At 40.8% G+C, this 27,765-nt stretch overlaps 1 protein-coding gene across 18 annotated transcripts in view, besides 3 other annotated features; it reads left to right on the top strand.

Moving 5' to 3' along the window:
• FOXP1 (forkhead box P1) overlaps nucleotides 1–27,765 on the top strand; it is a 629,271-nt gene that overhangs the window by 510,798 nt on the left and 90,708 nt on the right. For 11 of the 18 annotated variants that reach the window (NR_146142.3, NM_001244810.2, NM_032682.6 and 8 more), the window contains 3 exons: nucleotides 19,408–19,545; nucleotides 20,555–20,644; nucleotides 26,086–26,239. Coding sequence is in view for 16 of the 18 variants with exons in the window: in NM_001244810.2 (NP_001231739.1) it covers nucleotides 19,408–19,545; nucleotides 20,555–20,644; nucleotides 26,086–26,239 (382 nt within the window). In the remaining 2 variants the exon portion in view is untranslated. Of the gene's footprint in view, nucleotides 1–8,256; nucleotides 8,358–19,407; nucleotides 19,546–20,554; nucleotides 20,645–26,085; nucleotides 26,240–27,765 lie in introns of those variants that run through there. The other 7 variants (NR_146143.3, NM_001349341.3, NM_001349343.3 and 4 more) reach the window with 4 other exon arrangements.
• Nucleotides 7,581–8,081: an enhancer, noted in NCBI's record as "H3K27ac hESC enhancer chr3:71114251-71114751 (GRCh37/hg19 assembly coordinates)". NCBI's record gives its function as "activates a minimal SCP1, AML or CMV promoter by ChIP-STARR-seq in primed H9 embryonic stem cells {active_cell/tissue: H9 hESC(primed)}" and the evidence as "EXISTENCE:reporter gene assay evidence [ECO:0000049][PMID:30033119]".
• Nucleotides 21,481–23,175: an enhancer, noted in NCBI's record as "VISTA enhancer hs965". NCBI's record gives its function as "enhancer in: limb[5/7] | other[6/7]" and the evidence as "EXISTENCE:transgenic organism evidence [ECO:0001131][PMID:17130149]".
• Nucleotides 21,740–22,303: an enhancer, noted in NCBI's record as "NANOG-H3K4me1 hESC enhancer chr3:71100029-71100592 (GRCh37/hg19 assembly coordinates)". NCBI's record gives its function as "activates a minimal SCP1, AML or CMV promoter by ChIP-STARR-seq in naive H9 embryonic stem cells {active_cell/tissue: H9 hESC(naive)}" and the evidence as "EXISTENCE:reporter gene assay evidence [ECO:0000049][PMID:30033119]".

The following is a 27,765-nucleotide window of genomic DNA, read 5'->3' as shown; positions in this document are numbered from 1 at the left end:
TCTGACCCATCTCAAAAATTGGACATCGCTGAATTTAATTAAGATCAATTAGACATTCCTCCTATTGTTCAAACACACAATGCCTTATTTGTTTGAAAAGAGGGAAGTTCTGTATGACCTGAAAGCTTCCTGCTTCATCTACTGCTTTTCCTCATGAAGGATGAAATGCCATTTGAAATAATAAAAAATAAATAATTGGCCTGCAGGCTAGACGCATTTTCTCAAGACTTTATTAAACTGTTAATACAAAAGGGGTCTGATGTCTCTGTGAGATTACTCTTTCTTCCAAATGTCCCTTGCAATCCAGTCTAAACCTTAGCTGTGGCTTCAATCTGAGATGGAAAAGGCACCCCCTATCAGTAGCAGCCACCTGATGCTTAAAACTCATTTCTCCTTTCCAATATGCAACCAACAGAAGCAAGCAAGTGGTTTGGGAGGCTGGGTTGGATATTCAGAAATCTTTTTTGGTGAAAGCAGGCATGGTTGAAATAAAAGAACCAAAGTGGTTAAGGAAGAGGATGAAAAAGTCACAAGCACAAAAAAACATAAATATGTTTAGAAGTCAAGTTGTTTTGGAGTCTTCATCTGACCCCCCTCAACTAAATCCACCAAGTCTTAAAGCATGTATGTGACTTACTGTATGTACTACAAGTTGTTGATGTTTCATAGGGCTTATGACCTAGAGAATGTCCCAGTAAACGTTTTGGGTTGTTTCCCAAAAAACATTTTTTTGGTTGTTGTTCCCTGACTCACTGTAGACATGACAGTGTTCGAGATTATTGAGCATTGAAATCCTATTTATAATTTTAATCCATATTTCTGGTGGTTCTGGTTTCATTCATTCATTCATTGTAGAGATGGGGTCTCATTCTTGTTGCCCAGGCTGTGGAGTACAGTGCAATGACGTGATCAGGGCTCACTGCAACCTCAACCTCCAGGGCTCAAGCGATCCTCCTGCCTCAGCCTCTGGAGTAGCTAGGACTACAGATGCATGCCATGCCTGGCTAATTTTTTAAAATATTTTAGAGACAGGGTCTTGCTACATTGCCCTAGCTGGTCTTGAACTCCTGGCCCCAAGTGATCCTCCTCTCTCGGCCTCCTGAGTCAGTGGGATTACAGGCATGAGTCACTGCACCCAGCCCTATTTCTGGTAGTTTTACATAGGATCCTAATTGTAAGCAGGAAATACCTAGAGATTAGTCCTTTGCTAATGTAAAATGTGCACTTGGTACATGATAGGTGTAAGGATACCAGTAATGATAGCTGTTGTTGTTGTCGTTGTTGTTGTTGTTGTTAAACTACAGAGGCTGGGCGCAGTGGCTCACGCCTGTAATCCCAGCACCTTGGGAGGCTGAAGCAGGCCGATCACCTGAGGTGTCGGGAGTTTGAGACCAGTCTGGGCAACATGGTGAAACACCGTCTCTACTAAAAATACAAAAATTAGCCAGGCGTGGTGGCAGGTGCCTGTAATCCCAGCTATTTGGGAGGCTGAGGCAGGATAATCGCTTGAACACAGGGGGCGGAGGTTGCAGTGAGCCAAGATGCGCCATTGCACTCCAGGCTGGGTGACAAGAGCGAGACTCCATCTCAAAAAAGAAAAAAAGAAATTATAGAGAGATCTCATCCATCTTCCTCTTTGTTTAGCTGAAATGTGCAGGCGCAGAGAGGTGACGTGACTTGCCCACAATCACACTATTATTCCTGACAAAGTCATTAATAGAATCCTAAGTCATATGTAGTACTCCTGTACTATCTCAGAGTTAAACAGCCTGCTTGAGGCCTCTGTGGACTAGAAAAGATGTGCTGACCGCTTCAGCGGCCTGTAGATGAGCCCCAGTACTTGGAGCTGTCTGGAAACTACATGAACCGTCAAAGACTGGAAAGTGGAGACACCCAGGGTTGCTCACCTGGATGCCTGTGTCAGATTCCATTCCTGAGTTCTTAAACACACCCTCTGTTCTCAACCTCCCTCTCCCACCCGCTCCCCACTAGAACTGGCCTTACAACCTTTTTTTCTAGAAAAGGAGACAAACCTTGAGACTTTTATGTGGTCACTCTTAAAGACAGGGTGTGAGTGTCTGTGTAATTGGTGACTATTAGGGAAAGAAAAGCAAGCCATAGCGAGCGCAGAGCCCCGGAAAATGTTTTCTGTGTAGCAGCTTCTATGCCACACAGTGTGGAAGGCAATTATCTTGGAGGGGATTCCACAGCCCTGTGCCGGCTTCCCCGGTGTAAGATTTATTGTCGGCTGGATTGGGTGTTCTTTATAAGACCATTTACTCGGCATCTAAAGCGCTGTCAAGAGTGCTACTTCCTGAATGCTTTTGAGGTTGCAACTGCTAAGCTTCATTTTCCCGTCTTGGAGATATATTTTTGAAATGGTATGCAGGGATTTGTACAGGCCTTGTGCTTCCCATTGACACTGACAGGAGTTGCACTGTTAAACCCCAGCACGCTGCTGCAGAAATTTACCCCCTAATGCCCAGAGCCCTCCTTCAGCTGGGAGTCTGGCCCACACGTGCGCGGAGGGTTCCCGTAGCAGGGGAGAGGGCCCGAGAGTGCCCTTGTTTTGTGTAAGTCCTACCAGCTAATCAGTCTCAAAGTTGACTGTTTTCTTACTGAAACAAAGGATAAGCAAGTACTCTTCTTTTGCTTTTTCTCTTCCGTTTTTTGGATCTTAGGAATGCCAGAAGAAAACTCGAACTGCGAGTCAGCCAAATATACTGTATCGTGAAACCTTAGGGACCACTGAAATGGGAACAGTGGCCCATTACTGCTAAGAAGGTGTTTTATTGAAAATGCGCCGACATGCTCTCCCCGGAGAGTGAGCAAAAGAAGGCAAGATGCCCAACAGTAATACAGGTTGTTCTCTTAGGTGAGCTAAAATATCGAGTTTGGCACTCCCCTGCTGTGAGCGAGGAGGCAATAGAGTAGACGAATGTGCATTTTTACATTAAAAGTGCCATATTTCACTAGGGGTGTCCCCCTTTCTCCCCCCATTTTGTTTAAATGTCTTAATTTATATATTCCAGTTAATAGTTCATTACATGTCCTTTCTCTGTCTGGCTTTAAAAGTTGTCTTTTGAATAAGTTGAAGTAGTCAAAATTTCCTAATCCTGGCAGGCTTGCCAGCAGAGGGCAGGCGTAAAGAAGGTTTTGACATGAGGGTGTGTCAACCTAGGGTCAGAGGAGGGTGGTGTTGCATGGGAGGAAGATGTGTGAGCATTGTTCTGAGGGCAGGATGGGACACGCTCCCTTTGCCTCTTTGCAGGCCTGCTGCACACCACAGATCTCTGGAAAAGCTGACTGTACTAAATAAAGGTGGTCAGTTGCCTTTATCTGATATTCAGCGATTTCTACATAAGTAAACGTTAAAAAAATTAAAATGTAATTTCATTCCCCAAGAGCCGTCTTTTCTTTCCCCTTCAGTGCCCCATTTCTGGTTATGCTTAAAAATCGAGGGTTTGCCTGTGGGTGGGCCAAAAATACTGTCACTCTTCGGGAGGGAAATAACAAATTACACTTGGTGGTGGTGGTGGCAGTGATGTTTTCCCCCCGATATCTGAAGGGTACAGCACTTTGGGACATGCTCTACTGCCCCAAAACATGTACCTTTTCAAGAACTTTGCACACTTCAGTGTAATCTGTTCTAACCCCATGGCAGAAGCAGTCCATTAACAAATTTTACATTATGTTAAAACAGGGGATTATAGTTTCATCATAAATGAGAGAGGGTAATTTATTACTGTCAAATGCAGAGTTAGGAAAGGATGTTGTCATTTTTCTTTTCTGTCATGATTTTGTTTACCTCTGATGCTTATGAATGCTTTTAGAGTAAGGGATTTGTTTTTAGGTTGATGTTTTCCATAGCTCATCATACTTACAAGTCACCTGAATGTTGACATGTCACACTGTGTATATACAAATTAACCAGAAGCAATGGCTTTATAAAATGTTGCATTACATGAAAATGCAAATGGCAATTTGGAAGATGCATTAAGGGGAATTTAAACTCCTATGGAACAGTGAGAACTCAGTGTTTTCCCTTGGCCAAACTTGCAGGCACAGAAGAAAAACAACATAATTAGCTTCATTGTCAACATATGCATAACAGTGACATAAACAATATCAATATGGAGCTAACTGCCTTAGCTCCCTGTAGATGGATGATGTATTAATTTATATTTTTAAGTAAAAGCACTGCTTAAATCAAGACAGAATGGTGGTTCCTTGGAGACAAATCCCCAGATCTCAGGAATGGGGCATTGCTGTTGCAATTTAGTAACTCTAATTGGCTGCCCCATTGCCATTCTTTGGAGAAATACTTAAAGCAGTCCTCCTTCTGGGGAGGCGCGCTTTCCTGAGTAGGCCATCAGGCATGTTACTGGGCTTACATTTTGTATTCCTGTTGCTTTAGCTTTCTCTCTCCGGAATTGGAATCAGTTGGTTGAATCTCTTTAAGTTCTGTCATTTCAGAATATGTCCTGGATACTCCATTAAATTAATTGGAAAGGGGAAAGAAAATGTGTGTTGTGTTAACACAAGTGTTGTTCAGAAGAAGACAGCAAACTTGAATTAAGGTTTTGGCCTCTGATCACACAGTTGATTTTTCACCCCATGCTCGTATCCTTTCTCTAGTTATTTCCAAGCAGCTTCTGGCAAAGCAGGCCTTTCGTTGGAACTGAGGACCACGTGGGCCAGGGACCATTGCTGTATCTGCCTCACCACAGGGCCATTCATCAGTGTATGGAATAATGTCCTGAGGAGACGCTCCTCCTGACTCTTCCTTTAATACATCTTATCTCCATTCTCAGCTCTGAATGGGCAGTAAAACCTTTCACTTTCTTCTGTGTTCAAAGCTAAGGCTCAGCAGAACCAAATATAATACATGATTTTAGTCCCAGGTGTGTTATTTGGTGGTTAGAGTTTGGTGTGGGATCATAGTAATCTGTTCTTAAGTGCACAGCCAGCTGCACAATGGACTCATTTAGCAACTGACAGGTTTCTTAATATGTGGTGTTTGAACAAGAGCTGTATCTGTTGTGGGTGTTAGGATGTGGGCATCAAAAATATTTTTAAAGTATGGTATTTAGCATTTCCTTTACTCTTCCTTAAACGTTGGCTTACCCCTCGATATCCCCTCCCCCCCACCACAGGTATTCATTTTATATTATTATGGCTTTTTTTTTTTATAATTATCCAGTATCTGCTTCCTCTTGGAAGCCTGTAGTATATATTTTTTTTTTATTTTATTTTTTATTTTTTAAGACAGTTTCTTGCTCTGTTGCCTAGGCTGGAGTGCAGTGGTGCGATCACAGCTTGCTGCAGCCTTGAACTTCTGGTCTCCAAGTGATCCTGCCACCTCAGTCTCCCAAGTTGTTGGGACTATAGGCATGCACCATCACACGTGGCTAATTGTGTGTGTGTGTGTGTGTGTGTGTGTGTGTGTATTTTTGGAGACGGAGTCCCACTGTGTTGCCCAGGGTGGTCTCAAACCTCAAAGCAGTCTTCCTGCCTTGGCCTCCCAAAGTGCTGGGATTATGAGTATGAGCCACTGCACCTGGCCATGTTTAATTCTTGGGAGAAATCACTTTGCTTTTCTAAGCCTCAGTTTCCTCCTCTGTACAATGAGGGCTGGAATTTGTGTTCAGATTATGACAACTGCATGAGACTGTTAAAACACCCACAATCCAAAATTTTTTTGTTGGCCTTTCTTATTCAGCTTTTCTAAAATGACCTGGTGCTCACAGTGATTAATAAATGGTTTTAACGAAGTCTTCTGAGTTACTATTGGTTTTAACATTTTATATTATATTCCACTTATGGAAGTTCCAGTTCTTCCTGAATCCCAAATACAGGGCAAGTACACAGGACCACAGGAGTTTAGAATTAACCAAAGTGGCCTGGGCATATGTAGTTTATCCAGGTTTATCACTGATGGGACATTTCCTTGCCCAGAAGTAGTCTCTGAGTCACCATATCATCTGTCTGTCTGGAGACAGGGCGAGATGGGCTCCAGGTGGCTTCTAAGTTAGTATGCCAAGCCATTTCCCTCTCTCTTTTGTCACCTCCCCCTTACCCAAACCATCAGCCTTTAAATGCCACCTCCCCAGTGGGCCTTCCCAGACCCCTCCTCCTAGTGATCTCCTCCTTCTTTGTGGTCCCATGGTGCTTACAGCCACCACCGTGCAATTTAGTAGTTGAGTAAGCACTGCATTGCATCACTCTCTAATTATTTTGTTTAAGGCTTGTCTCCACAGCTGGGTCATGAGCGTCTGTAATGTTGTTTGCTTGTTTATTGTTTGTTTTGATGCACCTGCAGACTATTAGCTGATAAACACTGACCTGCTAAGGAGTTAGTCCACCTTCTGAAAGCATGCATGAGTTTTATGGATGCCTCATGAAGAACTTAGTTTCTAAAATAAAAACACATTGCATATTCAAAGTACATCCCAGTTTTTGTTTATAAACATTAAAACTCAATTTTAATACTTTGGGAAAAAGAAAGTCACTTAGGCGTTTTGAAATGATTCTTTCCACTTTCTCCCTGTACATTGGTTGGAGAGCACTTCCTTTATTTGTATTTCCTGCCGTTGGGGCTCTCTGCCAGCCCCTCCGGAAAGAGCACCTTTTCTCTTTAAGAGTCAGAACTCTACTGATAGTCGGGGGACTTTCTGGCAGATTTAAGGTCCTTCTACCTCGCAAAAGAGCCCTTGGTTCTCTGTTGAATATTCATGAGAGGGTGGGGTCACATTTTGTGACCTGAAAAAATCCCATTAATAAATTTGGTATCTGACACAAAAACACTTTAGGGTGAAGAGCGATCTGCGCTGTGCCCATTTAACATCTGATCATACTTTGATGGTCACTTCGCGCTTGTCTCTTTTACAGCCAGAGTAAAGAGGGAATTGTCTGCTCCCCGCTGACCCTGTTGAAATTCAGGCATTTGCTTGATTGGAAATATTACCAATATTCTTTCTGGTCTGTAGTAACCTGCATTTAATACACTTCACATCAAAATGTACTTTCAAGTAAAATTCCTGGGATTACTGGGTCAGATTTTGTTGCCTTTTTTTTTTTTTTTTTTTTGAAGGCAAATAGGCATTCATTGATGTCACACTACTCCTTTTCCTCTAATATTTTGAGAAAAAGAATAAAAATGTGTGTGGGGATTTTGTGTGTGTGTCTTTAAAAAATATACAGGCCAGGAAGTTTTTCTCCAAGTTTGAAGGTGGTAAATAGGTGATTTTTTTAGAGTCGCCGAAATGGACTAGATTAACCTGACGCTTAAGTCGTGTCAGTTGAGCCAACAAAGTTTAGCACATTGTTGACTTTTTAAAAAAACACTATACTCAGCTTTCAATAGCCTGAAAGAGCAGTGACTATTTCTAATAGAGAAGGTCATCCTAAAGTGCTTATTGAGAGTAGCTTTTGTTGTTGCTATTGTTGTATAAATAAGAAAGGAATTTAAAGAATTATTTCTTAGCAAACGTGTGGCAGATGCTTTCTTCGGCAGCTGTCGTTCTAGAGGGGAAGTCGCCTGGTTCAGCGACGAGGCACGTTTGGTTGTTATTTATTTCCACCCCGCGTCGGCTTAGTTTTCCTCGGTGCGCACTGGCACACTTTGGCGAGACCGACTCTGGGAAAGAAAGGGGTGTGGGGAGGCCAAGGCTCTGTGAAACCCCCGACGTGAAGCGAAAGTTCTCCTCCCAGGGAGGTTTTCGAGGAAAAGCGCTTTTCTGCGCTGCCTAGGAGACCTGCGTACCCTCCCGAAGCCGAACAGTTGCTCGGAGCAGTCGGCTTGGCGCCGCGAGCGCCGGGTGCCCCTCTTCGGCCTCCCGGGTTTCTCGGAAAGGTTAGGACAACTCTTTGTCAGTCTCAAAGACGAAACAAACACGCCGCCCCGCCGGCAGCCCCGGCCCCGCAGAGCCCCGGCCAGAGGGAGCGGTGCGCGCCGAGCCCGGCCGACCCAGACGTCAGCCGGAGGCGGGTCACCGGGTTAACAGCTATTAAGTGGAGTTGCTCTCCAGACAAAAGCAGGGTGGCACCCGAGCGTGATTTCACCTGCCGCGCGGAGGGGGCCGGGGCGCGCGGGCGCGGGGCGCGGGCCGCGGAGCCCATTGTGTGGGGCGCGGCGCGGCGCGGCGCGGCGCGGGGTGTTTAGAGGCGGGTTGTGATTGGTGGAGCAGGGCGGGGCGGGTGGGCGCGGCGCGGCGCGTCTTGTCAGCCCGCGAGCCGGAGCGCCCCTGCGCGCGTGCAGTCCGCCTGCACGCCGAGGCCGCCGGACCCCACGCCCGGCCCGCGCGGGCGCCCCGAGCCCGGCTCCGCGCGCCTGGCGGCTACATGGAGAGTGTCAGGTTGGTCCTTCTGATTGATCTTTGCCGGTTTCGCTCTCCTTCCCCCGGCTCCGCGGCGCCCGCTTCCTGGGGGCCTCGCTGGGGAAGGCAGGAGAGCCCGAGGGTTCTGAAGTTGAGTCTTTTAAAAAATCATCCTCATCCTCGCTGTTTACCAAGTTGGGTAGGAGTTGCGCTCTGGAAGTGGAGGCGGGGAGGGAGTGGAGGGGCAAGAAAAAGGAGCTGCAGGCCTGTGGGTCCTGGAGAGAGATACCCCCCCACCCCCCTTGCTCTTTGGCTCACACTCTCGCTCTCTTTTTTTAAATGTTCATGGGTGGGGTGTAGTTGAGAGTTGGAGGAAGTCCTGCTTGTGTGTTTCTCTCTCTCTCTTTTTCGTTTGCGATTCATTTTCTGCCGGTCTGGCCTTCACGCAGCCACTTTGGTGAAGCCCTCGCCATCACTCCGTTCGGGGGACGTATCTGGGGTGTGATTTCTGTCACTTTCAGAGCGTGTGAAATATACAAGGAGCCTTCCATCTCAGTGTAACCCATGTGGATGTTTCTTTGCTTCTGATAGTTTGTTTCTATATCTGTCTAGGCTATTTTCAGCTTAGCTGTTCAAATTCGACGAGTTCACACACAGTAAAGGGGGAGGGAGAGGCACAGAGCCCCACACCGGAGCAGGCGAGCGAGCGAATGGAACACTCTGGCAGGTTGGGGATTCTAAGCCTCTGTTGCATTACTTGGCTGGTTAATTAAGTAGTGAGCGGGGTTTGGGTTTGGACGTGCAGCAGACTGAGGAATTGCCACGGGGTACTCCCAGCTGAACCGGCTCTGAATGTAGCTAACTCAACTGTCAGAACTGCATGAAGGACGGTCAGTGGAAACGGGACTTTTTACCCCTCTCCTCCCCAAGTACGGTGTTGGGAAGGAGAGGACCTTTAGGAAGTGGGTGGTAAAGTTTTAGAGCAAAGTACATATAGACTCTTCCTCTTTGGGATTAACTCCTTCAAGTCCTGGCAGTTACAAGTAAAATATCTAGTAATTTTATATTTTTGTCCAAACAAACCAAATGTTCTAATCAAACCAATTTTAAAATGCAAATCACCTCATTTCCATAGATTCCAGCATTCTAAAAGTGACACATGTGGGGGAAAAATTAAGCCTGATAACAGGAAATGTGAATCATACTATCAATGACTAATCTGCTTAAGAAAAAAAATAAGTTACATTTATTTTATCATTAGGAAGTCAGTGTTAAGCCAGATTTTTTAAAGTTTAAAGCAAGTGGCATTTTTATTTTAAAAGCGGCCCTGTTTTGCTGTTTTTGTTTTTATATAACGAGTTTTCCAAGAGGAATGTATAGATGCAATCAGAGGTGGTTTATGTGGTAAAGAGCGCAAGCTAGCATGTCACTGCCAAAGAGCTGGAACATGATCACATTAAGATTCTAGTTTAGGGTTTGATGTGTGTGTGTTGCTGTTACTGTTGTTTAAAAGAATACAAAGCTTCCTTGGTTATTAAGATTGACCACTAAGTAAATCAATTGAAGACAGAAGCACGTTGTCCTAATTGATGCCCTTTGCATAAATTGAGAAAAGGTCTATATCTGTTTTATGTGATTCTTTGTAGCTGCCTGACACATTTCAGTGAAAAGTGTGTAAAAATGAAACCAAAATACAGACTGCCTACCCAGAGACACTGGCTGACTTACTGTAGGATGTGATAGAGCTGAACTGAGAACGCATTCGGCTGACACTTGATAATCAAAGTTGATTTATTGTTCATTAGTACTGCATTAGCCCTTTCAGGCAAGACAGTTATTTGTGTAGTTGCCTGTCAAGAGTGAGACTGCAAGCACCTGTCATTTCTAAGGCATGAGATAAGCAACCAAATATTAAGAAGATGCAAATAAAAATACATTTGACTAGGTAAAGGGGCACATAGTAATACATTTTTTTCTTTAAAAAAATAGTATGGGTCAATACCAGCGTCTAAGAAAGAAATCTATTGAGGATTATTTTTTAACCCTAAGAACGACTTATAGAAGGAAAGTAATGGGCTTTATATTCACCCGTTTGCCTTAAGAACTTTGTTTCCTGCCCAAATGTGCAGCTTGTCTGACGAAAAGTTGGTTAGTTAAGGAAATGAGAGGTATAACATGTCAATTATCTAATCCGAGTAATTTAGGTAAGGTAGGCTTTCTGTTTGTGTTGTGTTATTAAACATTTTATTAAAGGAAACTTGTAAGCATGGGTTGATTACATGAAAATGTGATGGCATCATGGCTAAGCTATGATAATGTCGGCTAATAATGTCAAGTGCATTTTCTGCAACATGTATCACTCTCGATTTTTTTCTTCTTTCTCTGGAAGGGAATGATCTCATGACATGTAATAGAAAACAACCTAAGTGTCAAAAGAAAACAAAATTAGCGAACTTTTGTCTGCAGCCATAGAAACGCGGATTAACTCATATTTTTCCAGGGATGGAATGGAAACATTCTGCACGAGGATATATAGTGTATTGTCTTCTCTGAATTTTCATTTGACAGGGATTTTAGAGGCTGTGATCTTAATTAAATCTCAACTAGCTGAAATAATGCATCTAAAGGCATGCAGTGTTGCGTAACCCTGCTCAGTTGGTAAACCATAAATCATCAGAAAGCTTATGATAGGAATGGTTGAATTTTTTTTTGTTGTTTGTAGTTTAATGTACCTTAAAAAACAAAACCCTCACCGTCACTGCCTTGCATTTACACGTTGTCAGGACCTGTCACTTGAAAGATAAACTCTTTTATGACACTGACCAGTTCTACAACTTTTCAGCCAACCTCCACACAATTGGAAGATACGGTGAAATTAAAATCTAGATTAATTAAAAACAATGAAAGTTCAGGTTTGTCTTGGTTAATGTGGCAGAAACGTTGTTTGAGTTACTATGTTTCTGAGACAATCAGGAGAGAATGTTGTGACTAGCTTCTCAGTCTGTACTAACATTTGAGTAAAATTTGAATTGGCAAAAACGAAGGTTGGAGGAATTTATTTTATTATGTGGTTTAGTTGTAGATGAACATCACTAAAGAGAACCTGAAAACCATGTTCTTGGTAACTAGGCAAATGTAGTGGTCAGTTAGATTCCACTTCAGGTAGTTCATCATTCCTTGATTTGCAAACAAGGGATAATGTAGCAACAGTTGATCGAGAAGGTTAGAGTAAATAAATACATAAATTGTGTCTATATGTGTGTTACATTTTAAAATATGCATTCAGTGACAAGGAATTATTAAACAGCTTTATTAACTGTCAAGGTATAATAAATTATAACGCTTGCAAATATTAGGTTACTTTTAGTGCCTCAAATAGATAGTTTTAACTGCTGCAGTTTTTGATTTATATATATGCTTGAGTAGAAGGAACTGCCTACATAAAAAAGTTGAGAATGCTGTCTTGTGATAGCTTGATTTCATGTATCTTTGCACGTAACATTTCATGTAAGACTGCAAGTTACATTGGTGATGAGCTGTAGCTCTCTTGGGGCAAAAGGGTAGCTTTATGTGTATCTGTATGGCTAGATTTGGGGATAGTCTTAACACTGTAAGCTAAATTTGTTGTTTGATAAAAGGTTTGTTTTCTTGGAAGCAGCGTATTTCTGGACTCTTGTTTTAGTCCTTTCAGAGCGTGCAATACTTCCCTCCCACCCCCACCAAGTGACATTTTGCATTCAGCCTTATTTTCTTTCGTTTAAAAAAGAAAACTCAGGTATCTCTTAGCTAAACAAGCCTTTGCAGATTGTGGAGACTTGAATTATCTGAGAAGAGCTAATCTGGGCCTCTACTTTTGGATTGTAGGAATGCTCTTCATTGAGTCCCTCTTCCAACCTGTGAGTTGTTTGAGGAGAAATTAATTTCGAATGAGAAAAATGAATACTGAACACATACATTGTGCCTCATTTTCAAATCCGGTTAAAAGCAACTAATCAATGAAGATGCAGGCTAAATGTTATGGTGAGCTTTTTAGAATACCTTGGTATCATGTTTTAATTTCTAAGCTTTATCTTGCCCTTAAATCTGAAACATCATTGTTCAAATAACTGAGAACAAGGTAAATCAACAACATCAAAAAGGTCGGCTTCTGTGATTTCTCAAGGGCTTGTTATTTTGTACTTCCCAATTCTATTTGATGTCTTGACAAAACAAGATGACACAGGGGAGAATACATTAAATTTTGATTTTTTTCATCTAACCTGTTACAGTTGTGGCAGCTTAATTTCTTTTACTTTTTCCTGAAGATGGCTTTTTGTACAATTACTCTAATTGTCACACCACTTCATGAGGCGGGTCTGCACGGGTTTCCCATTTGCCTTGATTTTACTAGGCATTTTTGAACATATTTTGACCTTTAACTTATGGGAAGCTTTTGGTTGGGCTTTGTCTTCATTATAAATAAATCAGTGAATGGTGAGATTGTCAAAGAAGCAAGTGATGTTTTCTCATTAGAATCTCATTTGCACCCTTTAGCTTAACTGTGATGTATAAGGTGAAGGTGTTGGAAATAGGCATGAGAAACTACAATTTGAGAAAGTTGAGTTGTAATTCTTTCTAAAGAGTGATTGCACCCTAAGTAAGGCCTTATAAAACTTCGGAAATGGTCTAATTTTGGCCTACCTATGTGTTGAAATTCAATTATAGTCCCTTCTCCCTTTCAGTAATATGGGAAAAAAAATACATATTTGCAGTTAAGCTCCCTATGAAATTTTCTATGCTGATTAAATCATGAGAAAGCAGAGCTACAAATTTAATTCTTAGTGTTAGAAAAATCTTCTTTAGACAGAAGATAGACATTATGTTTTTCTTCATTTAACAGTAACTGTTGATCTAAAACTGTATCCACAAGTTATCTTTTATTTATTTTAATCATGTATGTGTCTCAGGTAGGATGGAAACAGTTGCTGTCTCTTTCATTATTTTTGAGTAATACTTCAATTTAAGAGAACTTATTTAGCCAAGGCCTCTTCCTTTTCCCTTTAAGAACTAAAGATCTGTGGATAGAATCTTTTCTGGGGTACCTTCTTGGAATAGTCCTCCCCTCCTCCCATTTGCAGCACTTAAACATGATTTTTGTTGTTGTTGTTAATATAAAATGCCATTAGCATGTTTAATTCACATGCCCTAAATTGTTTTCCATCCCAGCTACAGGAGAAAGTGGTTGAAGTAGGAAAGAGAAGGCATTTTCTTGATTTAAATAATAATAATAGTTGCTAGGTTGAAAGAATCAGTGCTTATTGAGTGATTATTTTCATGTGTAGCTTCCATTGTTTCCTGTATTTAACAATTGCTAATGGGAGAAGCGATTTAATTTATGTAAACTTTACATTTTTATGCAAATGAAGCTGATATTTATTAGAGCTAAAACAATTATACTGGCACTTAGTGGAGTAACCTTGTGTGCCTGGGAAATGTTAGAGGAGAGCAGTTGATGTTCCACTAATACCTCTGCTGTAAACAAATATGCATTTATGCCACTTTTTAGAATTTAAAGACAAAAAGAAGAGCTCGGAGAGCATTGCTGGAGATTGCTTATTAGGGTTGATAACCTGAAATAACTCCTGATTGGCAGGCGAGCCTTGGCCTTACAATTTTTTTGTGAAAGAAAGATAGCCTTTCTTGATAGAATGTAATAAACAAAATGATAAAAAATGAAATGCTAATTGCATTTTAAAGAGGTCTTTTGAAAAAAAATTTTTAATAGTTGGTTGTATTGTTACTGAGAGAACTGTTATGCTAATGACTGACTACCTAGATGATTTTGCATTAATATAATAACCATTACCTGCCTTAGTGCTTTGTACAGTATTGTGGCAAAATAGCTAAGCCTAAAGGAGTTATACAAAAAGCAGAATTCCATAATGAAACAGAATTTTACTTTCCACATAAATAGCATGCTTTTTTTTTTTTATTTTTTTAAGACCGAAATATTATATCAGAAGTGTGTTTTCTTTCCTGTATGATAGTTACTTGCATGGTACCTGGTTGGTTCATTTTGTTTTGTTTTTTTAATACCATGGAGAAATAGAAGCTTTCTAACTTTTCTGTTTGCCAATACATCTGTTGTATCCATTGACTTGTTAATTATGAAAACTTGTTTTCCACAGGGGGCCAGAGGTGATGATGTTTAATTTTCTTCTATACAGGCTAGCTTGTATATGGTCATAAAAAACTTGGCATAGTTTTTTTTTTTTTTTCTCCTCTCTCTCTTTTAATGGAGCTATTTTCTCTGTTTGGTTTTGTTGTGACATTCTGGAGCCTTCTAATTTAATTTGTTTTGCTCCTGCTATTTGATTAACCAGGTGACACTGCCAAACCTGGTCAGTTATCACCCAAATACAGCCTGAAGGCTAGAACGGAAGTGAATTTCCTGGGACATACATGTGGTGAATGATCAGAGGGTAAAAAGAGTTTCTAAATTATTAACCAAATTAATAAAAATGAAACAGTGTTTAGCATTTTTTATCTTCTCTTTTTATTATTTGTATACACAGTAATTATGAGATGATACCCAACGTGCAAAATTTATGTGTATGTGTACTAGGTAGTATTTACTTGTAGTTGACTGGAGTGTAAACTGAAGAGAGAAGAAAATGATAACATGTTATTTTCAGTATTTATATTGTGTCTTCTCCCCTCCCACCCAATTCCTTCAATTGTCTCCTAGATTAGAAATAAGTATTGTTTCTCTGAGTGTTTTTATTTGTTTGTTTGCTTTTTAGATTTTTCCCTTCCCATCATCTACGTTTCCCCATTGGGCGTTAAAGGAAATAATATGGCATATTATTTTAATAGTCTTTCAGCATTCAGATGATAGAGAGTCATTTTGAAGAAAAAACCGTATCAGGCAGAATTTACACAGCAGTGTGTATGGGCTTTTAGCAGCAGTTGTTAGTGCTAACACCGTTTTCCCAGTTGCTGGTATTAAGGTAGCAGCAGGCCCATACTAGCAGAGCTGTGATGGCCCAAGCACAGCTGTATTTCTGCCATTCCCGCAGGTTTGGGTGCACCTGGGATCGACCACACCCAGTTGGTATCAGTCAACAGTGTATCATGCCGTGTGTTTTTTTAATTCATGATTTCCTCTTGAAACTCCACTGAGGAGTGTTAACTGTGTGCGTTTTTTTAAATTCAGTTTTGTATGCTAGCATTCTTTAAATGTCTGCCAGAAGTTTAATTTGAATTTCTGATCCCTGAAGGCAGCTAGACAGAATCATTCTAGTTCTTCATAAATTGCCTTCTATGATTCATTGTTAACTCATAAAACATACTCATTTCTATATACTCAAACAGTTAAGGTAGTTACAGTATCGGAAATTTTTTTTTTTTTTTTGCCTTATATTTAAATCGTCTTTTGAGAAAGAAATCAAGAATTAGCTTGAACTCCCAGTTAAGGCATGAACCCTGTAGCACAGAAAACATCAGAAATGAATGTTGTTATCTCAAGGAGGTTAAGGTAGAAGGCATGAAATCTGAAAAAAAAAAAAAAAAAAAAAAAAAAAAAAAAAAAAGTTTCGTTTTTACTGAATACTTTTAAAGAGGGGCCCATAAATATTAGAGAGCTGTAGTTAAAAACTCACATGACTGTTTTAAATACTATTGATTTAAACCACTGGCTAGATTTTATGAATCAAAGTGTAATTTTGAAGCTTTGGCCATATTTCTCAGTGCTAAAGCACTCTCTCTTGTGTGCCTTTAGCCGCTTTCCAGACATTCAACACAGGATTAAATGATAGTAGTTACAGTGATCAATAGGTTAAGACTGCTACAATCACTCTTGCCGCTAATGACCTCAGTAGTAATGGGCAATAAAGTGTGGGCTGTAATAGCCTCTCGCTGGTACTGCATGCCCTTTGATTCCTAGTGTTAGTAGGGACTAGCTACATGAAAAAGTTGGACGTTGGGAATTAAGGGAGTGGATATATAGGCTATAATTCTTAACTATTTAAAGCCTTAAAAACTGCTCAGATTTTTTTTTTTTAATTTCTTTTCTACCCCACCATAGTTTCTGGTCTATTTGAATATGTTTGTTAAAGCTTTTCCATAACCTCTTTTCATGATATGTTAGAACAGAAACGTTGGGGAAATCTTGGTTTTATAACATTTGTAAATGAAGCTGGAGCCCACTTTGGAGGCCCAGAGCTAACTGGCATGAAAACGTGGTTTCAGATAGTAAAAGCGAAGTTAAGGCCATCAGGATATAATAGCCCACTTCTGATTATTCAGAAGTGATCAGCCCGTTTGGAGGATTACTCAGGCCTCTTGCTTCCTTCCCTCCTTTGGCAGTGCCTGCTGCTGTAAAGCATATTATTACTCATCAGCACCTCCATCAAAATGTCCAAAAGGAAAAAGAAGGGGAGACTCAAGTTCATTATCCTGTTCCGTAACTGCAAAAAAATGAATAAATGATTATGGGAAAAGGAGATTTAAGCCACTGGTTTGATGTCAGCCTTTAAAAATTGTCTGTACAGGTATATGTCAGTCCTTTCCATGATTCCCCCTTTTATTATTGACAGTTAAGGGACAATGTTGTTTCTCCTTTAAGAAGATGCTTCTAGTTTTACCTGAGTTAAGGGGAAAAAGTATTTTAGGAGACATATGTAACTTTTAAAATCAGTTTTATTGAGGGATGATTTACGTGCGCTCAAATATACTGATTTTCAGTGTCTAGTTGGAAGAGTTTTGACGATTGTATACACGTGTGTGAGCACCACCTCACTCGAGATATGGACATTTCCATCGCCCCCAAAAGTTCACCTGTGCCCCTTTCTAGTATAAGGTTTCTATAGCTCTTTTAAAAACGATGACCAGGAGGTTATTTCTATCATGATTTCTGCTCTAACTCTGTTAAGTTCATGTTCATCACCAGTTTAGATTTTACACCACCCTATTCCTGTCTGTTTTCCTGTTCATCACCATCAGAATTTGGCTCAAGAATATTTATATTGTACATCATCCAAGAAACGCAGAGGAAAAAAGAAACCTTAAACATGGTTCTTTTGTTTGCTTAATCAAACCTCCCCGTATGATGATGCAACTCTCAAGGAAAAGTAAACTTCTATTGTGATACGCTGGCTTTAGCAGCTCAAAGGATACCGATTGGCACCCAAAAGATACTTAAAAATCCGAAAAGTTTCTTCTGTATGAAGACAAAGTAGACTAACTGGAATTAATTTGTAGATGGTTAGATGTTTTGATAATGTCTTCCTGGTGTTTGCCCTAAACTGAATGCGAGTTCACTGTTCCAATCGTTGGTGATATTTCGTGCTACAAATTATCTTTTTAAAAGGGTAATTTATCCATTCATATACATCTGTCCCATTTTGCATATGAAAATATTCAGACATGCCCATCTGTTTTAAATTACAGTGTATCTACATCTACACTTAAAAGGCCACTGGAATAGGAAGAATTCATGGATGACCTTCCAGAGCTGGGTTAATGAAATTTTTCGAATGTTCTAACTAGTGTTTTCCAAACACACGACACTGGCACATCAACATCCCCACACATGAAACAAGCCCACAACAACAGTGGAGAACATTCGCTGTGCATGAATCTGACCTTCAGGAACCATTTTTAGTTCATCAAAATTAGTGATGCTGAGAAATCGGGACATCAGTGCATAATGACTGTGAAATTAGGAATGAGAGCTCGCTATGCAAATGACAGGACAAATCATGTGAAAAAGTCAGGATAAACTGCATATTAAGACATTATGTTACATAAAATTAATACTGCATTTCTGCCTTTTGCTTACTGCTCCCCTGAAAGATTTTTTAATTCTTTTATCTTCTGATCAGCTATTGTCTGCCGGATTTTTTTTTTTAAGTAGCACACAGGCAAAGTGCAAAACATGTTATTACCTTTTATTGTAATACATGAGATGACAGCATATCCTTTTTAACAAAGTATATCCTTTACTGCTTCTAGCTTCTTGCTGTCACATGTTTGATTAGAAACCAAAGAAAAGTAAGATGCTTAAATATTACGGTTAGAAGACATACAGGTTTTGTCTTTTCTTTCATTGTTTTTTCTTTCCTTATCTTTTTATTTGGGGCGGGGGGTGATTTTTCATGAAATAGTCTTCTTGCATTACGGGGACTGACAAAATGGGTCTCATGTAGTCTGCAAATTAAACACAAGTGCAGTGATTATTTTGAATAGCTAAATTACATTCTAGAAAGCTTGCAGAATTCATAGCATTGTCATTAGGTATCCGCTTGAATACAATTTGTGTAACCTTGGCCAAGACAGCCTGTCATTTTAATGTCAGTGTTTTATCTGAACAAGACATCATCCTTTCAGATACAGTGTGCAGGTTCCTTGCAAAGATGCCCGTGCAGAAACGTGTTAACAGTTGCAAATATGAAATGCTATCAAGTTCATCACTGTAGCTGTTTGTCACTGAAATGTCATGGAAAGCGGGTTTTAATGGTATTGCACATAATATGAAAGAATTGAGACATCTGTGTGCTGGGTGAATAAGGAAGAGTAAAAGGCATCATGCGAAGGGTCTGTGTTTAAGTTCGGAAGGTGTGTCCAAGGTTCCCTTCCCAGCAAGTATAAGCATTGATTGGTTGTTCTTAAAATCACTGTCCACAGAGCAAGTGTGCTCATATGGGCTCCACCTGCAAAGGTGCTGGTTACCATTTGTCTTCTCTCAAACAAAATTCAAGTCTGGGTTAACTTCCCACAGATGGTTTTGACCAAAAACTCACTCTCAATAAGCAATTGAGAACTGTCGTATCTTAACTCCAGTTAGCATTTATTAAGTTTGTCCTTTTTGTGTGCTTGCAAGGCTGCCTGGAACCCCCATCAGTACTGCAAGATTTTACTTTTCTTTCTTTAAAATAAACTCCATGATAGATTAAATAGGATCTGTTGCTGCATCCCCTCTGGATAAATACATGTTGCATGGGAAATTGGTCAACTCTTTAAGCAGGCTGATGGCAGTCAGCTGCTGAACCTGGGAGGCTGCGTGCTTCTGATTTCCTGGCTTCCTATTTATCCTTCATTAACATTCTAGGTTCCCGTGTCAGTGGCTATGATGACACCTCAAGTTATCACTCCCCAGCAAATGCAGCAGATCCTCCAGCAACAAGTGCTGAGCCCTCAGCAGCTCCAGGTTCTCCTCCAGCAGCAGCAGGCCCTCATGCTTCAACAGGTAATTGTCCTTCCTCCACCTCCAGCCTGTCTCCCCCAGAACCCAGGGGCCCCCATCACTCCATTCGCAATCTCCCCTCCACCAGAGCAGCTCCTTTGCTCAGTGAAGAGTAAAGCAGCGTGGGTGGGGCAGGACACAGACCACTCCCTGAATAATCGATGTGCTTTTGCATGCCCAAAAGAGAGGAGCCCTGCCATGGTGACTAGTGTTTGGGCCTGGAGAGTACCCGATGGACTGAGATCAGGGCTGTAATTGGACTTGGTAGCAGTAAGATCTTTTAGGTTTACATGGCTCCTAAATGGTGTGAATCAAAGCAAAATGAGGAGCACGTTGGGAGTGGTTTAAATATGACAGCTCTTGATGTCCCCATTTCGACTCAGAAGCTTACAGATTTTTTTTCTTTAAACATAAAGAAGCATTCTAGAATTTGCTAATTTTAAGGTCCAGAGTTGATTTTACTTCTTCCACATACGATGTTGCTGAAATGAACTTCTGGTTGTCATTGCACTATGGGGACCTAATATTCAGACTTCACAGCCACCTGAACCAAATAGATGAGATTCGGAACTACAGCGTTGGGAGTCACTGGCCTGGGGTGGTGGGGACAGGATGCAGCGGAAGCTCCCAGGCTGTCCATGCACACACTGAATAACACTGCATAGTGCCCAGCCCTGTCATTTAGAAAGCATGCAGAAGAGATTCACCAGACTCTCTCAGCAAGGGCATTTCAGCTTTGTTGTACAATCAAAGGTCATTCTTTGCCTTATTTTAATTAGTTTGTGTAGAAAATGGTATGTTTTTCATCAGTTCATTTTGGAGATTACTTTTCAAACAATAATGCCAAGAATAGTCAGTGTGCGCTGAATTTATTGTCGAGTTTCAAACTAAAGGTCAGGCCATTACAGATAAAAGGATGCTATTTTTCAAATCACAGTTTGTGTATGGCACCAAAAGGGACAGTGGATTGGCGCTACCCTCTGTTACTTACCGTCCTCTCTTTCCTTTGTAGCAGCAGCTTCAAGAGTTTTATAAAAAACAACAGGAACAGTTGCAGCTTCAACTTTTACAACAACAACATGCTGGAAAACAGCCTAAAGAGGTACCGACAATACATATTTTACTTTCAAACCACAGATCCCAGAGGACTATCTAGTGGCTATTAAACTGTCATTCATCTTTTAAATGATTGCACAACTGAGCTGACTCTATCGGTTCTCAGCTTTCAGACTGAGAATTATTGTCCTGTTTTCACTCAGATTTTTCTGGGTTCCATTTGCTTGCTGCCACATATTTTATAACACCACTGCACGTGTACCTGTGTGAGGAGCAGGAGAGGCATCGTTGACAGAGTCTTCAGGTTACTTTTTGCAACCTGGTAACAACTGAGGGCCAGGATGGAGCTGGGAGAAGTGAAGTGCTTTCAGGAAAATTTTACTTGGATGCACACTTAATTTTTTTTTTTTTTCCCCAGCTCACAGAGCTTGGGTGTGTGGTGATGGCCTTTTCCATTGGAAGAATAACCCCTTGTGAGGTTGGATAAACAAACAAAAATGTTAGAACAAGATTAAACATCCACATCTTTTGTTTAACTTCTTCCTGCAAGTTGTACATAATGTAATTGCTAAAGGCATGTGCCAGAGAGCATGAGTTGAAGTTAGAGAAGACTCCAGCTTGGGTTGTGTTTTCTTGGGCAGGGTGGAGAAAAGTATATCATAATAGCTTCTATATGCACCACGCTTGGTAGTGTCCATAACTTATCACATTATGCCACACCATGAAGGTTGACAGCATTCGTCCCATAAATGATAAGGCCTTTCTTTCCAGGGAGTTACCAGTTCACCTTCTATTCAGTTCTGCGTGGGTGAGACTCAGTTGTGGGAGTATCCGTGTGCATGTGTGCGTTATTATGACATCTTTCTACCCATTCCAGAGTTATCCAATTTAACTTGCCTCCTCATATTTTTACAGTGGACTGAAAATTCTTTTTGTTTAAGTGTTCTCCTTGGGATGACACAATTTATAATTCTATATACAGCACCTCATCCACTTTAACAGCTTCTTCACCAGCCCTAAGCAGGTGGCCACTTTTGTTCTTTTGCAGGGAGTCTTACCAGGTGACTCGACGTCCCTGTCCCTCACCTAAGTGAGGATGCTGGGCTGTGCTAATTTTACACCCTGGGAGTGACCCAGACATTCTCCCTTTGCTGCCTCCTCCCTTGACACAAATTGGGGACGTTTTCCATGTCCTGCCAAGTTTTCACCCTGGAGTCCTGTTGAGCAGCCGGATGTAAACCCCTGCAGAGTAGGGGCAGTTTTGGGGTGAAGGGGAGGAGGTGTTTTAATGAAAATGCTGACACAACCTTAAGTACAGTGGCGCTCTACCGGGTGCTGCTATAATAAAAAAGGGAACAGATTAAAAAGTGTCTAAAATGTAAATCTAAAGGACTAACAGTAATTAAAATGGAAATGGCACAGGGAGGGAAGGCATGTAATTGTGAGATATCACTGTGCAGAAGGCTCTCAGCTTTGTTTTGCTGGCTGTTTTTCTAATTCAGCAGGGCTTACTCATCAGTGGCAGTTCAATGCGCGTTAATGACTCTGGGATTGCAGGCATCACTCTGGACAAAGAAATGATTATTGTGCGGTCAAAAGAAGTTCAAAGACAAGAAGGGAATTTCAGTTTTTTCCTTAGAGATCCACATTCAAGAGCATATAAATTAAGCCAAATGTTAAAAACCACAGTCTGAAAGCTGACTTCAAAGTCACAACTCTCTAATTAATGAACTGCGAGCTTCAGTTTGGACAAGTTGTGGTTTGATGCGCCCATAAATCAACATGACAGGCCTGTTTCACAGTCTCAGACAGTGCTTGTCATTGAGTCACATCAGATGTAAACACAGCAGAAAAAAGAAGGGGTATGAAGGAGGTGCAATTGATCAACAGAATTGGTAAAAACCCACTTTTGAAGCACATTATGCATGATCACAGGAAATGGTTACAGCCTCAAGAGGTTTCCCCTTCTGCTGTTGCTTTTTTGAATCAGATTGCTAACAGCCTTCAAAAGGGAGAATAAGAATTATGGAGTTTCTCCCCTGTGGCTTGCAGGCAATAACCCCCTGTTGTTATTTTGTGCTTCTTTCTTTTCAAAGGCATCAAAATTTAGTTTTTTAAAGATCTTTAACTCTATATTTGAAGACAAACAAAAAAGGGCTGCCACTGTCATTCTTATCAGTTACCAGGGATTGCGTTTTTCCTTTCTGTTGCCACTTCTTATTAACCTCTTATTTGGTCTGTGAGACATAGTTTGGAATGCACGTCTGCATGCTGGGAGAACATGAAAGTTCAGATGAGCTCAGAGGGCACATAAAGAAATGGGAAGGGGAAAGTTACACAGCAGAAAGAAGGATAAAAGTTACCTCTCCCAAATTGCTGTTGTCAGAAAGGAAAGCATCTCAGAGCACAAAGATGATAGTGGTCCCTGAGTTTGGGAAGGGAGTGGCAGGGGGTGGGGAGTGTAGGGGAGAAGGAGAACACTTTGTGTCTAAACAAGGAGAAAGCAAGACATTGTAGGAACATTCTTGCATCTCCAGGTCGCTAGGTTTGCTGTGGTCCATGCTTTGTCATCCACTTCCCAGGCAAAGGTGACCCAGGAGATAGGTTGCTTTGAATATCCTTTGAGGTAGGCAGACCAGTGGATGGGTCTCCTTGGATTCATGGTGCCAGTGGATTTGTCTGAGACCCAGGGTAACAATGCTTAGGAGATCTGTAGTTTCCTGAGGTAGGGACCAGTCTCCTGGAATTATCATGCAGGTGGTGGTCCTTTTGTGCTAAAATGAGATGGAGTCACACGGTAGCATTTTCATGATGTGGACTGGTGGTTATGATTTTAACAAGGTTTGAACTTGGTTGTTGACAGATGGAACAAGTATGTTAATTTACTGAGTCCCCAGTCATTAGCGGCTCATAATTTTATATTGTCAGGCTCCCCCCACCCCCTTTTTTTCCTGTTTTGATTACCTCTGCAATAAGACACCTGATCTTTGGCCAGAACGATGTACCTTTGCTCTTTTTTTTTTCCTTCCCTCCTAAAGTTGCCTTGAGATGTTTCCTTGGGAAAGTTTGGCTCCATATTGGGTTGGACCAAGACAGGACCTTCCTTAAGAAGATACGTGCTCTTAGGTAGGGGAGGAAGAGAGGATGTAGGCCCAATACAGCTATTGAAGTGACTGCTCATGAATATTGGACAGAAGTGGTGAGGAAAATAGACAGCAGAATTCATTTTAAATCGAGCTACAAAAAAAGATTCCATCCTGTGCGGGTGAGGTAGGCTAAGTTGATTGTTTTAAAAGGGCCGTTTGTCCCGGGCAGTTATGACAGTTTATGTTAGGCAGTAGGGAGTAGCCGAAGAAAGGAAAACAGACCTTTGACTGCAGCTCTAGGGAGGGGATCCGAAACTCGAGGTTTATCAGGGCATTTTAGCATTTTAACACTGACTACTGACCTGCCGAGGGGACTGCACGGAGACCTTTTTTGTATGCATTCAATTGTGAGAAGTAAACAAATGGACCCGTATCCTGTGTTTGGTAACTGGGTGGGGAGCGCAGTTTGGCAACCGGTGTTGCTTTTAAATTCTTTCTTTGGACAATGGGCCTTGTATACTTTTATATCCTGGCTTTTCAAACGTAGACAGCTTTCATGAGCTTTTTCCTAGGGATGGCCACAGAGACAACAGAAAAGGCATCAGTCATTTTACATAAATACAAAATTTTTAAACATTTCATTTACAGTAAGGCAGGAAACACCCTCCCCCACCTCCAGCTGTACCCCCCCCATTATAGTCTGCTTTCAGAAAAGCTAATTCCCTGATCTTTTATTGTGTCAATGTTGTTTTTTTCTCTTCCCTTTTTTTTGTAATGTTGTGAGTTAATATCTGTTGAAGAAGTGAAAAAATCGTTTTGACATGAATATAACTATCACTGGGTTTTACATTAATGTGATAACTTGGGAAGGGGTGAAAACAATTGGATCATTTTATGCATGCTGTTCTTAAAATGAAAACACTGGCTTTTCATTTAAATTTATTTAAATTTTTGTTGTTAGTGGTATAGAATTTGTTTTTTGGAGTGAAACTCAATTAACTTTCTCAGTGGCATGGTAGTAAGTCTGAAATTGGTTGCTAATATGAGAATGATGGTTTTTACTGTAAAATAAACTACATGAAGACCGAAAGGAAACCACCATTTTTCTCTTTCTTTGAACTTTGCATCAGAAGGTCTTGATATACATACCATTTTATGGATGTATCAGATCAAGGTCATGTGTTAGGTTAAGTGAATGCAGTTGTTTGTAAAGTATAGTTATTAGCCAGAACATGTAAGCTCTGAAAGGGCTTGGATAGTCCTTTTAGTTGTAAAAGTCTCTCTGATCTTTTGAATCATACTCAGAATTAGGAACACTGATCTTGTTCTTTTCTTGAAGAAACTTTTCTTTTTTTTTTGCTACAGTTTGGGAAGGGTTAGTTTTCCTTTTATAATTGTTAGCCATAATGTGGCTAAGACCTCCACCTCGATACGATTGCTAGCAGATTAAGGATATTAGATAATTTCCTTCTATTTATTGTACTACTGCACTGTATTATCTTTCTATCACTCAGATAATTACTGAGGAAATCTACATTAATTTTTTTGGCTGAAGCAAGGCCTGCTAAACACAGGAATGATGTATTGATGTTTTACACAACAAAAGTTTTCCTCCTGTCATTGTCCAATCAACAAAAAGATATTTATCATATCGTAAAGCCCCTTCTTTTCAAGAACAAAGCAGATGGGGGAAGCAGGACAAGCCACCAGACCTGGGAGTTTCTGAGACTAAAGCCATGTTAAGGCATCTGAAGCTTAGACTGTCGTTCATGTTAAACTCACAGTCGAGTACGATGTTGTTTGCTAAATTATGAATGTGTGTAATTAAAATCTAGTGGCTGTTTCTGTGAAAGATTTACAATGTTATTTCATCGTTTGTCATGGCTAATTAACAATATTAGATGAAGTTTTTCTTCTTCAAAGGTCTGATTTTTTCTCATTTATTTATGTCAGAAGTGATAAACAGAGTAGTTAAAAGCTTCTGCCGGTGCAGGCAGGGAGGGAGGCAACTTGTTCTTTTACACCTCAAAGGTTCGGGGTTCAGACCCCTTCAGACTAGAGTGATGCAGTCTTCTCTCTAGTGTGCATAATTAAAAATTTCAAAGTCTAAAAGTTTACATCTTGATGACAAAACTCAGACCTTTCAAACTGGGGGGAAAGCTGGCTTGATGGACGAATTATGTGTTTATGGGAGCGGGCAGTAGAAAGATAACACGCTCATCTCCCCACCCCTCCTCAGAGGAGGTATGCTTTGTCCCTTTTAAACCTTGACACGGAGCCCTCCACTGAGCTCCAGTGACCATTCTCAGCATTTGATGATGATGGTGAGTTTTGAAGTGTCCATACTTTTAACCTTCCTTGGGAAGTGGCCATCTCATTTTTTCTTCCTGATTTCTTACAGCAACAGCAGGTGGCTACCCAGCAGTTGGCTTTTCAGCAGCAGCTTTTACAGATGCAGCAGTTACAGCAGCAGCACCTCCTGTCTTTGCAGCGCCAAGGCCTTCTGACAATTCAGCCCGGGCAGCCTGCCCTTCCCCTTCAACCTCTTGCTCAAGGTATGCGTTGATTTTACAGAAGGCATAGCTCTGTGAAGACTTTGGGTGGAGGTGGTGGGTTGTCTCTTGGTATATTTGTTAAGGACATTGTCCATCAAAACATGCACATAGATTCTTTTAAGAAAAGTGGAGTGGGATAATGATGGACCCATGTAGAAGGTGAAATGCTTGTTGATGCCAAAATGAAGTCTCAGGGTGGTCTGAAGGCTTAGCTGTAACAGAGCAATCCCACTGTTGGACACTCTTGGAGTAAGAGAATGAGGCGCTACTTTTCACTTACTGAGCATTTTAATGGACTCTTGCAGTGTTTCTGTTTGGAACCACAAAGGAATTTTCCTGAGGGCTTTTATTATTCATTTAAGACATTTTATACCATGTAACATGTGCTATTTTAAATCTTAGTAATGCTTTATAAATGCCATGTTTTAATATCTAGGGATAAATTCAGGTTTATTTTTCTGTAAACGATAGAAATCAACCACTTTCTCTTATAAAAAGGAAAACTTTGTTTAGTTTCCTTTTTTTTTCTTTTTGCATTCATCTGTTGATTTTTGAGCAAATTAGTTCTACACTCATCAGAACAGGTACCACTTCCATCTCCAGTTCCTCAACAACTGAGATCACATGAAAAGTAAGATTTTATACATTTAGTAAATTTCTTTTACAAAGCCCACTGACATTTTATCCCAAGGGTGATGGACATCAGAAACAAATGGGAACTCTAGGTGTTTTTAGGACATCCTCTTGGTTTAAGCAACTCTGACTTTCACATATGTAATGTGAAAGCAGATGGATTATTCAGAACTAGAAAGGAAGGTGGGAGGGAAGGAGGAAGGGATGTCAAGAGGGAGGGAGGGCGGACAGGCAGGCAGGAAGGAAAGAGAAAGTAGAAAGTGCCATGCCTGTGTTTTGAAACACAATTCCTCCATCTATGCATGGTAGGGCAGATTTGAGTTGCCTCCTCAAGGGCAGCAGTTCTTTGAACTCTAGTAGATTTGGATGTTGGTTTATATGTACCTTAAAGGCTGATAGCTAAAGCCACTGCTGTCTTGGATTCAGTTGCCTTCTAAAGAAGGTTAAAAATGTGGAAACTCCTTCGTGTTGCTTAAAGCATGGCCATTTGTTTGGTAACTTTTGGTGTCAAGTGAAGTCAGGGAAGCATGTCTGCATTTGAATCTTTTCCCTTGAGTCCACCACACCCAACTTCTGTCCCTTATGAGGCTGATTTTGTTTTTAGTATCGAGACCAGGGCTTTTTCCTCTTAACTTCTCTCTTGCCCCTCCACTCCTTTCTGCCATGACTGCTCAGCTGCTTGATACATACTCAGCATCTCCATTGTCAAAATAGAAGATGTCGTAACTGAGCAATACAAGGAGAAAAGAAAGAATATATATATGTACATCAGTTAATGCATTTTTGTGCTTGCAGAATGTCATAGCGTGTGTTAATTACACCTTTGGGTTTATTGTTGGAAATATGGCAGGCTGTTCTGACACACCTACCGGACTTGAGCTCCAACCTCTCTC

The sequence above is a fragment of the Homo sapiens genome, chromosome 3, assembly GCF_000001405.40.
Source record: "Homo sapiens chromosome 3, GRCh38.p14 Primary Assembly".
In the NCBI taxonomy this organism is placed as follows: Eukaryota; Metazoa; Chordata; class Mammalia; order Primates; family Hominidae; genus Homo; species Homo sapiens.
Note: the sequence above shows the minus strand (reverse complement) of the source record. Positions and strands in the feature narration are given on the sequence as shown.